At 50.7% G+C, this 13,997-nt stretch overlaps 1 protein-coding gene and 1 long non-coding RNA gene across 27 annotated transcripts in view, besides 4 other annotated features; one reads left to right on the forward strand and one right to left on the reverse strand.

The window, feature by feature from the left end:
* Positions 1 to 13,997, forward strand: part of CTIF (cap binding complex dependent translation initiation factor) — a 324,187-nt gene that overhangs the window by 134,864 nt on the left and 175,326 nt on the right. The gene's annotated exons all lie outside the window — the stretch shown is intronic.
* LOC105372107 (uncharacterized) overlaps positions 1 to 13,997 on the reverse strand; it is a 30,901-nt gene that overhangs the window by 370 nt on the left and 16,534 nt on the right. For all 3 annotated transcript variants that reach the window (XR_007066460.1, XR_001753440.2, XR_007066461.1), the window contains one exon: positions 9,063 to 9,258. This is a non-coding gene — a long non-coding RNA (uncharacterized LOC105372107). The remainder of the gene's footprint in view (positions 1 to 9,062; positions 9,259 to 13,997) is intronic.
* Positions 1,251 to 1,430: an enhancer, noted in NCBI's record as "active region_13289". NCBI's record gives its function as "activates an Ori minimal core promoter by ATAC-STARR-seq in GM12878 lymphoblastoid cells {active_cell/tissue: GM12878}" and the evidence as "EXISTENCE:reporter gene assay evidence [ECO:0000049][PMID:35858748]".
* Positions 1,904 to 2,528: an enhancer, noted in NCBI's record as "H3K4me1 hESC enhancer chr18:46202169-46202793 (GRCh37/hg19 assembly coordinates)". NCBI's record gives its function as "activates a minimal SCP1, AML or CMV promoter by ChIP-STARR-seq in primed H9 embryonic stem cells {active_cell/tissue: H9 hESC(primed)}" and the evidence as "EXISTENCE:reporter gene assay evidence [ECO:0000049][PMID:30033119]".
* Positions 3,165 to 3,234: an enhancer, noted in NCBI's record as "active region_13290". NCBI's record gives its function as "activates an Ori minimal core promoter by ATAC-STARR-seq in GM12878 lymphoblastoid cells {active_cell/tissue: GM12878}" and the evidence as "EXISTENCE:reporter gene assay evidence [ECO:0000049][PMID:35858748]".
* Positions 3,255 to 3,314: an enhancer, noted in NCBI's record as "active region_13291". NCBI's record gives its function as "activates an Ori minimal core promoter by ATAC-STARR-seq in GM12878 lymphoblastoid cells {active_cell/tissue: GM12878}" and the evidence as "EXISTENCE:reporter gene assay evidence [ECO:0000049][PMID:35858748]".

A 13,997-nucleotide genomic window follows, 5' to 3' on the forward strand; every position in this document is an offset into this window, starting at 1 on the left:
AGATTGGACACCCCTGCTGTATGTCTTAAATGCTTTGGCCCAGAAATATCAGCTCCACTCAGAGCCCATTGGACAGAACTAGTCACATGCCCCCGCCCCAACTGCAAGGGCTGACACTTCTGCAGGGGAGCGGGAAGAAGGGGAGCACATGGCTGTTCTGTAAGCCTCAAGTGCCTCTGCCAAATCTTCCTCTTTCCTTCACTTGCTCACTTAACTCATCTTCATGGACAAGTGCTCTGCCCTAGCCTTTTAGAGAGAGAGAATTGATCACATAAGATACAGTTCCCCACGAGAGGCACAGCCTAGTAGAGGAAATGAGACATGCACAGATTACCACATGCATTCAAAGCTGCAAATGCCCGAGCAAGTGCTGGTGCCTTGCCCAGGTCACAGTCCCTGAAGGGCAAAGTCTGGGTCCTCTCCCAGTACACCCCACCTTCCTCCCCTGTGCTGCTGCAGCTCCTGCAGTCTGGGGCGTGAATGTGTGGCTGAGTACAAAGCAGAGGGCGCCATGGGCCCCCACACTGAATGCCTGTTGATCTCCTGGGAGCCCTAGCTTATCTCTCAGTGGGTTACACACAGAGCGCATGCCACAATGAGTGGTTTTAGGAGGTGATGCCTCCACTGGGGGTCAGATGCTGACACCTAGGCGTCTGGCCAAGCTCCTCTCCAGCCAAAGCCAAGGCCCCTATTCCTGGTGACTCCATCTGGCTGTGTTTCCACAACTGGCAATGAATCCAGGGGTGAGTCTCACTGCAGTGCTGACCTCAGGAACTTCATCTCTGGAGCTGCTGGACTCAGGCTCTTGGAGCCCCCACAAGGATGTGGGGCAACAGGGTAGACAGTAGGTGTCTGTGTCCAGGGCTCACCCTATACCTCTGTGAACCCCTGCTGCCAGGAATAGTTCTGCACTCTGAAAAGGCATTTAGTGAGCTAGTTAAGTAAAGGGTCTGTTGGTGGTGTTAACTGTCCCCAAGGTCTTCCTTCCCACACTGGTGGCTGGAGGGAAAGGAGCAGGTACGCTGGGATAGGAGCTAGCCAATAGCCAGGTTTTATGGCATCCACACCGAGGCATGACATGCCATACAATGGCAGCCTCAGGCCAGTTGAGACTGACATTGCTCTCTAAGAACACTGATGGGGTGGTGGGGGGTCGGCGGGGGTGGAGTGGGTGGGAGATGGGGGGCAGCAGAAGGCTCTGAGTACAGGGCCATGGATTCAGGGTTCAATCATGGTTCTCAGTGTTGAAGCCATAGGGCAGGCAGACACTGAGACACACACTTGGGCTCAGACTGCAGTTCTAGGGGACCCCCAAATTCCATCCACAAGGCTGGTGTCCTGGTAGCATTTTTGGCATCTCTATCACAGGAGTGGAGGGGTTGGCCAGGCTACCACTCTGTCAGTGTTGTGGGCAGCCCAGGCCCATCATTAACAGTCCTGCTCTGAGTGTGGCCCCAGTGTTGAGGACTGCTGGAGTGGAGGCCTCGCCAGGATCGGTGGCTGTATGGTGGTGTGCTCCCACTAGAGGGCACCAGCGCACCACTCTGCAGGCTCCAGCCTGGTGCTTGCTGTGGGAAGTCCCCTGGTCCCAGCGCCAGCAGCCAAAGGCGTCTTCACCGGCCATGCCTCCTGGTCAGCGCTGCACATGCACACTGTCCTGAAAATGACCCCACTCAATGCCCAGGCCCTTCCTCCCTGCAGCAAGTGGGAGGATGGCGAGGTGCAAGAGGCAGCCACACTAAGGTGTAGGGAAGCTCCTGTTGGGCCACATGTCCCCTGCTAGGCCAAGGCATGACACTCCTCCAGAGGGCCCGCCCCTCCCTGGGACCCCTGGGAACACACTGCTTCCAGGAGGGCAGCAGCACGGGGCTGCAGGGGAACACCCACTGGGGTGGGGCTGGGGGAGTTACAAAGTGTTGGCTTCCGCCCTTGGAAGGATGGGGGCTGGCTAAGTGGGGAGATGGAGCCGCATAATCTGTAATCCATAGTCTAAGCCGAGTTAATTTACTAAGTTCTGAATTAACTTGACTAAGTTCCAAGTTAACTTGACCAAGTTCCATGTGAAGGCAAGGGATGAAATCCGAATTGCATATCCTTCACCTCATCTCTGGTCTGAGACCACCCCCCGGCACCCCCTCCCCCAGGACCCCTTTACTCTGAGGTGTGACTTGGGGAGCAATTTCTCCATGTGTGTGAAGTCGGCGCGACCAGTGTGAGAAAGACGGTCTAACGGGCATGTTGTCCCTGTGCCCTAGATGGCCCCTAGGTGAGCATTAGATTTCCTCAGGTTCCCGGGCACAGGGCCCTCGGCGCCCTGCGGAAATGCCACCTCCTTATATCACACAGTGGCCTGGTGCTTTTGTGTCATATACAATACCCCATTGAAAGACGTTGTTTGTTGAATTATCCAGTGTCCTGCCCAGGGCTTTCTATCAGGACGTATTTTGGTCATTATCCTTGAATTCTCCCAGACAAACATTATGTCTGCTGTCTTTGGTCTGACAGTAGGAACTACATAACCCACTGACTTCTCGTTTTGCCTTTCTCTTAGGAAATTTTGAAACCAAATTCTGTGTCTGTTGGCCGTTAATCATTAGATGGCTCAGACCTAGCAGGGCCGGCTCCCCTGCCCCCACATTGCTGGCCTTGTCCAGAGCGTGTGACTCAGGAGCCCTTTGCTGTGAAAGGGGCTTAGTGCCCACACAACAGTGGACGCCACCCGGTCAAGTGGGATTTCTGGCCTTAGGGATGTGCCCAAAGCATTCCCCATTGAGGGTCCCCAGAAGGCTCAGGGGACGGAAAGTGGCTTTCTGGCCTCCTGAGCCTGTGTCCAAGTCCAGCCTTCACACGGGAGATGGCTAAAGGAAGGGACAGTTCCTTCCTCGTTCTTCTGCTTGGCCCTGGATGATAACAGAGAGATCCTCCCCACTACCTCTCTAAAGAATCCGAGGGACAAATGAGCTTTCAAAATGAAAATCATGGCTCCATGAAATGACACTCAGGTGTCCCTCACTCCTGGAGGAGTGAAAATGGTGGCCGATAAGGAATGGCCTGGCAGCCCCAGCAGGTGGCGCTGCTGCTATTTAGTAATGGGGGTCCTGGGCGGGAGGCCGGGGCCGCGGCTGGGGCTGCCCCACACTGGGGTTGAAGCCTCTGTAGCCGGGTTCCCAGACCTCCAGATGAGAAGGAGTAACTTTATTGTTCCCTAGGGCTGTGTTAGCTGTTGCCAAGTCTTCTGGAAACTTCTAGGACATGCTAACTCACAGGCGTGAGGATTAGTAAAGTGCCCCGAGACACCCAGGAGCAGAGTCCTGAAAACCATGCCCCACCTCGCCTCCCCAGGCCCTGTGCACCGGCGACTGTTGCTCCATGTCACCCGTGGTCCCACGGAGGTGAGGTCTGACCTTATTCACCCAGGCCAACATTACGGATCAGGCATCTCTCTGTGTCCCAGGCATTGTCTTATAGCCATTATGGACTGAGTTTAAGTGCAGGGGCTGGTACCTGTCCCATAGACGGGGACATGGTATTCTCCTAATGTCCCCTTAGTGAGAATTCAACAAGGAGCGTAATGCACCAACAGTAACACTAGCGAACATTCACAGAGTGCTTTCCGTGTTCCAGGAACTGAGAAGGTCCTTGCTTTTTCTAATCTTACCCTCACGTTGTCCCATGGAGCACGTACTGTTATTGACCTCACTTTACAGACCGATGTCTTTGGTCGGATGTAACCTTCTCAGTAAGGGCTTGTGAACACTCCATATGCCTCCTCATCACTCAAGAATCGTCACTCGATTCTTCCCTGCAGCGCCTGTCGCATGTTTGCTTTATTTCTTTTGCGTCTGTATTCTCCCAGTGGAGTGTACGTTCCCCTGGGGCACATCTAGGGGCTCATTAAATATGGGTTGAGTGACTTGCTCCTGCCCCAGAGGGACTCCCACCCAGCATCTTAGTCCAGAACTTGTGCCTCCACCACAGAGGCTACCATGACTTGAGTGCTGTCTGAGCTGCGGGCTGCATATACTATCTCTGAAGTCTCACAAATACCCTGGGAAATGTTTATTCTATTATTATTTCACAGATTGGAGAACTGAGCTCAAATACCTTGCCTCAAATCACACAGCTGGGAGAAGGGGGATTGGAATCCAGGCAGCCTGACTCCTCTGGTACCTCTTTCTAAGGAGGGACGATGAGGAGGAAGAGGTGCTGGAAAAACATTTTCTAATTCCAGGAGACGGTAGTCACGTACAGCAAGTTAGGGGTGAATGTCATTTCCTTAATAAGCAAGAACAAGAAAGTGGGTATCTCTGTTTTTCTCTCTACTGCTGAAGGCAATAAAAATGGAAAGAAAAAAAGAGAAAAGCCTCTACAGACAGCTTTGAAAGAGAAATATTTTTTTCTTCTTTTTTAATCAGACAGGTTTGTAGTGGCCTTCCCCATCCCTGCTGGCCCAAGACGCTGTAGCAGCCATCAAGGAGGGGGTCTTACAAACGAGAGCCCCTTTCCCTCCCCAGCCACCTCCCCACCCCCAAGTGCTTCCTCCCTCAGGACAAAAATAGGCGCCCATACAATAAATGGGGCCAGAAGTTCTCCAATCCGTGGTTTCCTGTCTGAGACCTCCAGGTAGCAGGTCCACTGGGAAGGGGCAGCGTGCTCTGTGAGGCGAGCCTATTTTTATTTTTTGTTATTTGTGAGTCTTTTTTTTTTTTTTTTAAAGAACTGATTATTCTGGAGGTGAAGACTTTTGTTGGTGACAACTGGGAAAGTTCCTCGGGAAGAGGCCACTGTCTGCGTCTAGATGGGGTTTCCACGCGGGCCTCCTCCTGCTCACTCCATGCGGAGCAGAAGGCAGGGAGCTGGGACTGTGGGCAGCGAGTACTTTCAGGGCTGTGTGGGGCAGGCTTCAAGGGGCCTGGGCAAGTCTGCCCACCCTATAGGAACACCTCAATGATCCAGGCCACGGCTAGGATTTTAGGGATTGGCAAACTGGTCCACAGACCAAGTCCAGCTCTCCAGCCTGTTTTTGCAAATAAAGTTTTATCAAAACGCAGCCACACCCATTCACTTGCTTCCTGTCTGTGACTGCATTTGTGCCACAGCCACTTGCTGTGTGGACCCTATCGCCGGCAAAGCCTAAAATATTGACTCTCTGGCTTTTTACAGAAAAAGTTTGCCAAACACTGATCTAGAATATAAACAGAACAAAAAAGGAAACCTCTGAGAGTTAAAACAGGTGGCAGAAATCCTAAAGCTCACTCACTAGTCATCCAAGAGCCCTTCTGCTTTGCACACAGAACATTGTGTAATTCACCCAAAATAATTTTCTTCCAGCTTCCATTTCTTCTGCTGTAAAGTTGGGGGTCATATACCTGTTCAACTTACGTTGCAAAGCTGTGCTAAGAGTCAAAATACAATAAACCAGTTCATATAATGACAGGGATTTTTGAACTTAAAAAACACTCTGCAGATGTGATGTGGCCTCATGAAGTGGTAGTCACATCTGGAAGCAGGCAGAGAACTGGCAAGCTTGGCAGATAAGAACTGCGCTTGGAGATGGTCCAACAGCTTCCTTCTGTGGGTTTCTTGGCGGGTGGGAGATGGAGGGCAGGGACTGTTGGCTTTCCCCAGCTCCTCCTGAGACTGAGACCTAAAGGGTGACTGTCTTCCTGCCCTTGACCTTAGACAGAAAAGACTGTTGGGGGAGTCTTCTGCTCACCCATTTCTCTTTCCTCTTATGTCCTTCCCTCTTTCTTGCTCAAATCTTCCCCCTCTTTCATGGCCCTGTTCCAATTTCACCTCCTGCATGAAACTATTCTGGATAAATCAGACCACATCAGCCCACAGAGGTTTCTTGGTTTTTTGGGGGTCTTGATTCTAGGCCAATTTTGAGGTTTTCCCCTTTTTTATGCCCCTCCATGCATTTGTGCCTCCTGGAGGAGGTAGACCTGGAACTGGGCCTTGGGGGGTGGCCTGGGAGGGGAGAGGGACCTATGGGGAGAAAGAGAATTATGGTCAGGAGAAAAGGAGGCTGTTGAGAGTGGGGGAGTCCAGGAGTCCTCGAGAGGGGAGACTGTATGTAGGGAGAGCAGTTGGGGGTGGCCCTGGACGTCTTGGGACCTGACCAAATAGGGACTCAGCCGAATGCTCTCCAGCAAGGAAATGCAGGATGGAAGGAGGATTCAGAAGCCGTGGGACAGGGCCTGACTGAGCCTATGCCCTCCTCCTGGAGACCAAGAGGGAGTTCCCAGGATCTCCCTCCAGGCACCAGGGAAGAAGTTTTGTTATTTGTTAGGGACAAAGGCTAGAGCCCTTTAAAAGTAGGACTTGGCCCCAGTGGAGAGGTCATCTGTCCATGCCCTACTTTGGGCCAGACCATATCCAGAATCCCTTGATGAGTATCAGAGGGCTTAATCCTTCAGGGAGTAGGGCCTTGAGGCCAGCATGGGACAGGGAGCTGGGACAGTAGGCTCAAAGAAGGCCAGATTGAGGACAGCCTTCCTCAAGGTCTCAGCTGGGCCAAGGCCATCACACAGACAAAGAGCTGCTGGCCTAGCCCTGCTGGAGGAATGAGCTCAGGGTTGAGAAGAGGCCAGCAGGGGTGCCCGGTACACAGTGAGCAGGCCCCAGGCTGGCCTGAGTGGCCCTGTCGACGGATGCCCAGAGGCAGACCCACCCTGCACACGTCCACCCGCTTTGATGAATGGGGCCACACAGCCCGCAGCCTTGCCGTCCCTGTCCTTCAGCAGTTTCCAGGGTCTGGTTTAATCCTCCCACTCCCTGAGCCAATTTGGCGATGCCCTTGATGACTTGGGCCAGGCCTGGTTGATTGAGATTGCTTGCCGGTCCAGCATCTTCCCTCCTCTGTCCTTTGTGGAAGGAGCCGCCGGGGCTTGGGGGAAGAGGAAGGTGTCGCCAAGGGTGTGAAGCATCCATTATTCCTTTATTAGCCAATGTCCCATTTCTGGTCTCATTCTCCTTCCTGGCAGCGGTGAGTTTAGGGGCGGAGAAGCCCAGTTATTTTAGTTTCCCCCTGCTTCTGTCACTGGGAGCAGTGGTGGTGGAGGGGGCGGGGACGGACAGGGCTACGTGCTCTCCAGCAGGCATTTGTGAATGGGCCTCGGCTCCCAGGCTGACCCGCCGGCAGGCGGCCCCCCCAGGACACACTGACTCTTACTGGCTGGAAGGCGTTTTTCCAGCATTGCAGCGGCCAGGCAGGAGGAAGCTTTCCTCTGGCCCAAGAACAATACCAGGGTCAGCCCAGGGACCTCCCTCCTACACCCTCTTCCTTCCATTGTGAGCTGCTGCACAATCCCAGGCCCCTCTGTTCTATACAGCCAGGGGGGCTGGGGGGTCAGGCCCAGGAGAGATTCACAGTGTGTGTGACACCGTCAGTTGCTTGCCTCCACTTCCCAGGCTGGGCCAGGGATCTGGAGGCAGCCGATGGCCAAACAAACCAAGTGAGTGAGTGGCCATTGGGTCCCTGTCCTTTGCAAGGGGCTACCTCCAGAGTGGGGCCCCCAGCTGGATGCTACCACTCTTTCCCTCCTTTCCCCATTGACTCGTAGCCTGCCAGGGCTGGAAAAGACCCAGAACTTCCACCTACAACCCCATTACAGACGAGGAAACTGAGAGACCCAGAAAGGCAAACTTCTCATTGCCTTGCTTAAAAATCCTTCACTGATTCTCAGGGCCTATGGAAAACCCTGGACTTTCCTTTAGCCCAGGGCCTGCTGGCACCCCCGGCTTCTTTCCTGTGACTCCGAGTCTGTCTGTGCTCTCAGCTTGGTGACTGATTGCCAAGCCCCTGATCCAGCAGCACCAGTTGCCTTCAGTGTCCTTCCCACCTCATCCACCTGCCTGCCTGCCCCACACCTGGTTTTTGTTTGTTTGTTTGTTTGTTTGTTTTTTGAGATGGTGTTTCACTCTTGTCACCCAGGCTGGAGTACAATGGCTCGATCTTGGCTCACTGTAACCTCCGCCTCCCAGGTTCAAGCAATTCTCCTACCTCAGCCTCCCAAGTAGCTAGGATTACAGGCGCGTGCCACCACACCCGGCTAATTTTTATGTCTTTAGTAGAGATGAGGTTTCACCATGTTGGCCAGGCTGGTCTTGAACTCCTGAGCTCAGGTGATCCACCTGCCTCGGCCTCCCAAAGTGCTGGGATTACAGGTGTGAGCCACCGTGCCCAGCCCCACACCTGTTCTTCAAAGACTCTGCTTAGAGGTCACCTCCTCTGTGAAGCCCTCCCTGATAAGGGACTTTTCCAATGCGTTAGTTTATTGATTCACCTGGCTCCTCCAGCACTTAATATATTCCTAGAGCACAGCTGCCCCTCCACATCACTGGTACACATGCATGCCTCACCCACACATGCATCTCTCCCTGAAACACACATGATCCCGGGAGCCAAAAGCGTATCTTATTCACCTCTGCAGCTCTTTGCACAGGTCCTCAAAGTGTGGCCCCTGATCAGCAGCAGTAATATCACCTGGGGACTTGCTAGAACTGCAAAGTCTTGTGTTCTATCTTCACCCCAGTGAACCAGAAACTCTGGGAGAGGGGCCCAGTGGTCTGCATTTTAACAAGCCCTCTGTGATACTGATGCGTGCAACAGTTGGAGAACCACTGCCTTACGACCTACTTGCAGGCCACTGGCTTTTCACTACTTCTGGATAGTTCAGGGAGTCACTGACATCACCTTCCCCTATCCCCTTCTATCTGCTGCTGAGATTTTTGGTTGGTTGGTTTTTACCATTATTTTGCTCAAATGAAGGACAAAGAATTGTGCCCTGTTTGACAACCCAGGACATGGATTTGCAAATGGTTTGGTGATTCAAGGACAACATGGTCCCCCAGACTCCAGCAACTGCTCCTGTCACTGGTCATGCCTCAGAGGACCCCTGGGTCCCGACAGCCCTGGGCGGGCCATTGGGGATTAGGGTTTCTGGAAGGCTCATTCCCTTTGCACCAAAGATAGAAACCTCAGCAGAGTCCTCAGTGACGCTGCGTATTTCCAGGTGGTCAAAGCCAACACCTGGGGTGGAGATGTGGGGGCAACCCACCTGGATGGGGCGAAGCCCTGGGCTCAGTGTTCCAGATCTTTCCTTCCAGCGCACTGCTTTGTGTGTGTGGCAGATGAACCATCCACAGCGTGCTGGGCAGAGGCCGACAGGGAGAGGAGTTTGTTCCCTGCGTGCAGAACCTCTGCAGCGGCGGGCGCTGACACCGAAGCACACTGGGTGGCAGGGGGAAGCCTCCCTGGGAATAAAGCAACAAACACAAACTTCTGTCTGCAAAGAGAATAATCCAAAGTTGATGTTACATCGACCATAAGTAAGAACAACAAGGGAGTAGCAGGCCTAGCTAAACACGCCCTGGAAAGGCTACATACTGTGGTTGTGTCCAGAAAACAATTTTGGACTCCAGGAACCCCACAGAAAATGACGGCCTGTCCCTTGGACCCCTGCTTGCAGTGAGACCACTGTCCCTCCGAGCATCAGTGGTCTCACTTCGAGCAGGGGGCACAAGGGACAGGCCATCATTTCCTGCCCCCGAGCCTCACCCTCCTCCTGTGAAATAGGAGTGCTGGCCTTGCCCTCCTTCTGGATCCAAGCCTTCACCCCCCTTGCCCACTTTTGGGGTGCTCCTGAAGGAAAGAGCTCTGATTATTAAAGCATTAGATGTAGTCTTGTGTTCTCCAAAGACCCTCTTTGTTCCTTTTGGCACCCCACCCCCAAAGGGTTCAGGAGGAAGCTCTGCCTCTAGCGGTCTAGGCCCTGCTCTCTCTCCAGAGTGAAAACCTCAAGGAGTGTTTTCATTACTCCTGGGGACTTTGGTGTTGCTTTTCGCTGTGGGTTTCCTGGAGTGTGTCTCTTTTGGATCCCAGAGGTCTGCCAGCCTGGCCGGGATCCAGGGAGGGTAAATGGTGGCTCCTTGTCTGCTGAGACAAGCGTGGCACCACTGTGGCCACCAGCCCTGAAAATTTGGGGCCCAGGCTCCCAAGCTCTCATGGGGGCCCAGTTGCACCATGAGGCCCAGGGCTGCTGGCCACTAGTTCTATGTTGAGTGGCCAACATGGCCTGGGCTGGGGTTCCCCTACCTGTGAGGTGCTAAAGTGTCAGGTGGGATGGACACTGCTGTGGCGTGGTGACATTGCTAAGGTGACTATTGGAGCAAATGACCTCAGTAGCCACTTGCACCTCGCATGCTTTGTGGCTCTGATTAGATCATTCATCTCCAACGTAGTATAATGTGGGGCCACAGGTGCAGGTGGGATTCAGAAAAGGGAAAATGTAGGCTGGGGCGACCTCATGCCTTCATGGGGAGGTGGGCCCCAAACACTTGAACCATCTACTCATTTTTTATCAAAATAGTACCTGTCTGTAACTTACAAAAATTAAATGATACTGAAAGGCCTGTGACAGAAAATAGCAGCTTTCTACCCCCTGCGTCCTCAAGTGACCCGTTCCATTCCTCAAAGCAACTACATACCTTCACTGTTTTTACTATTTTTTTCTAGTGGTACCACCCTATTTCGAATACAGATATCTAATCTCTAATATTTCTAATATCTAGTATACTATTATTATACTGTTCTTTTTAAGTATATCAATTCTAGTGATTTCCTGCTGATTTTCTTATTATGAGAGAGAAGAATTTTGTTCTCCTATACTCTGTCCTCTCAATATAGGTATACCGAATTTTACTTAAATGTTTAATCAGATGATTACTTCATTAACGAATCCTGCTTTCCTTTTCTTTATTTTGCAAAAATTCAGATTCACAGGAAAGTTGCAAAAATAACACAAAGAATTCCTATATAGCCTTCACCCAGATTCCCCAAGTGTTCACTTTTTACCATACTCGCTTTATCATTCTCCCTATGTAATTTTATTATTTTCTTAATTCCTTGAAGAGTAAGTTGCAGACACAGTGCCACTTTACACCTAGATACTTCAGCATGTTTTCCTAAAAGCATGGACATTCTTTTCCATAAATGCAATCTAATTGTCATATCAGGAAATTAGCATTGACAGAATACTGTTACATAACCTGTAGACATTTACATTTTGTTAATTGTCCCACTAATGTTCTTGATAGCTAAAGAAAAAGTTTTTGTTTTTTTGTTTGTTTGTATTTTTTTTTTTTTTTTGGTTTAGAACCTATACAAGATCAGACTTTGCTTTTAGTTGTCATATCTCTTTATCTCCTCAATCTTTCTTTGTCTTTTATGACCTTGACATTTTGAATAGTACAAGCAGGCCAGTTATTGTGTAGAATGTCTGTCAATTTGATTTTGTTTGATGTTTCTTCATAATTGAGTTTGTGTACTTTTTTTTTTTCTTGAGATGGAGTTTTGCTCTTGTCACCCAGGCTGGAGTGCAATGGTGCGACCTCGGCTCACTGCAACCTCCGCCTCCCGGGTTCAAGTGATTCTCATGCCTCAGCCTCCTGAGTAGCTGGGATTACAGGCACATGCCACCACGCCCGGCTAATTTTTCTATTTTTGGTAGAGACGGGGTTTCACCATGTTAGCCAGGCTGGTCTTGAATTCCTGACATCAGATGATCCGCCTGCCTCGACCTCCCAAAGTGCTGGCATTACAGGCATGAGCCACCACTCTCGGCTGAGTATGTGCACTTTTTAAGGGAATACCACAGAAATGGCGCTGTGTCCCTCTTCGTGCAGCTCATGGAGAGGCACAGGGATTTCGTGATGTTGACATTGACCAACTGGTTAAGATAGTAGCTTCCAGGCCTCACTGCTATGAAGTTACTATTTTTCTTTTTTTAATTTTTTTGAGACAGAGTCATGCTCTGTTGCCCAGGCTGAAGTGGAGTGGTGCGATCTCAAGTCACTGCAACCTCTGCCTCCTGGGTTCAAGTGATTCTCCTGCCTCAGCCTCCCAAGTAGCTGGGATTACAGGTGCCTGCCACCACGCCTGGCTAATTTTTGTATTTTTAGTAGAGATGGGGTTTCACTGTGTTGGCCGGGCTGATCTCAAGCTCCTGACCTCAGGTGATACACCCACCTCGGCCTCCCAAAGTGCTAGAATTACAGGCATGAGCCACTGTGCCCCGGCCCCAAGTTACTATTTTTCTCTTTGTAATTAATAAGTATCTTGCAAGGAGATAGTTGAGACTATGTAAATATACTGTTTCTGCTAATACTTTCACTCACAAATTTTAGCATTCCTTAATGATTCGTGCCTGAAATGTCATCATGCTGATCAGCAAATAGTGGTTTTAAAAAATTCCATCTACATTTATTAGTTGGCTTTCTGCTATAAAGATCTTTCCTTCTCTATTTTTCTTTTATCTGTTTATTTATATATGTTTTGGCTCATAGATTTTTATTTTATTCTAAGGGTTATAATCCATTACTATTATTTATTTTGATGCTCAAATCATCCCAGTGGGAGCCCTTGCAAACTGGCTTCTGTGTGTTTCTAAAATGTCCCCATTATTCTTTGAGCACTTCTTGACTTTCAGGCATGAGAACTTGTTCTGGGCTTATCTGGTATTTTCTCTGCCCCAGCCCTGGAATCTAGTGTTATCTAAGGAGCCCTGGTACCTTTTAATGAATGGTTCTTAGAAGCCAAGATCGGGACCTAGGTGTGCTCATTGCTGCTCGGTTCTCACGTTTTTTTACTCTCTCCTCCCTCATTCCTTGAGTGCCTGGGTTCTCAGGTCACAGCTTCTGTTATTCTGCTTCTCCAGAAATAAACTTTGAATCTTTTGCCTGGTGGTGGGGACCAAAGTGTAGTTTCCTGGCTATGTGGAAAGGGAAGGGGACTTGGGGAGTCTCATATTTAGACTTCGATCTGGTTCTGCTGTTTCCTGCCAACACCTGAGCCTTGCCTCTCCTGGTACCTGGGGCCTGCAAGCTTTGAGTCCTCGGAGATTTGCAGCCTCCATCCATGCATTTCTCATCAGTATTCCTCTCTGCACATAACTTAGGTTGCACCTGTCCCCACACTGCCAAGTTGCCCACTCCTCCTTCGTTTACTTTCTGTCTTTGCAAAGTTTGTTGAAATCTCTTTTCTTGATCTCTGTGCTTATGGGGGTTTACAAGTTTTTGTATTCATGAGAGAGCAGGAGTTGAATTAAATGCATGTGGTCAATCCTGTCGAGTCAGAAGTCTAATTTGTTTGGATTTAAATAGTTAGGGAAACAGGAAGAAGGTCGGAAGACTGAGCTCTGTGTGCTTGTCAAGAGGAGCAACGGGAGCAGATGGTGTCGTGTGGGAGTCGGGGATAAAGCGATCTGTCTTCAGAGTTCAGGCAGGAGAACTGGCTTGTGGCTGAGCCCTGGACAGGTTGTATAGAGAGGATAAAGGGGGTGCAGGATGTACCTGAATGCCAGTACATAGATTTTTTTCTTTGCTGTTGTTCAAAGAACTCTAGGAGGGGACACACACACACACACACACACACACACACACACACACACACACACCAAGCTTACCAACCAGGAGATGGGCAGAGTGAGCAGAGTATAAGCCCCAGTCGTCTGAGGGGCCTGGGAAAATCTCTGCTTGGATTCAGACCTTACAAAGATTCAGACCCTACACAAGAGCCACCAGGGCAAAAGTGCTCTGGGACTCAAGGATAAGGCTCTATTGTCCTCCCCTGCTTAGGATTCCAGCCACACCCTGCCTAGCTTTGTATTTGCCCCTTCCTGGTGGGAAAGACTCTTCCTCAGCAAGCCTCCAGAGCCCTGGGAGCAGGGCTCTTGTCCGACACCACCTCTGAGACAGCACTGGTACGCTGTTGGAGCTCCATCAATCACAGAACCAGAGAATCGTTGCTGAAATTGCCAGAGCAAATGTGAAGCCGACTGTGTGCAAAGGTGAGCCTGAAAGCAGCCTCTTCAAATTGCCCTTAAGAACTTGTAAGGCACCAGGTAGTTGCTGGCACCTCTGTCTCTGCAGCCGCCTGAGTCCCGCTGTCCTTTGCCGTTACTAAGAAATGTGGCCCCCACCCCCAGTGGTAGCCC

This window comes from Homo sapiens, chromosome 18 (genome assembly GCF_000001405.40).
Source record: "Homo sapiens chromosome 18, GRCh38.p14 Primary Assembly".
In the NCBI taxonomy this organism is placed as follows: domain Eukaryota; kingdom Metazoa; phylum Chordata; class Mammalia; order Primates; family Hominidae; genus Homo; species Homo sapiens.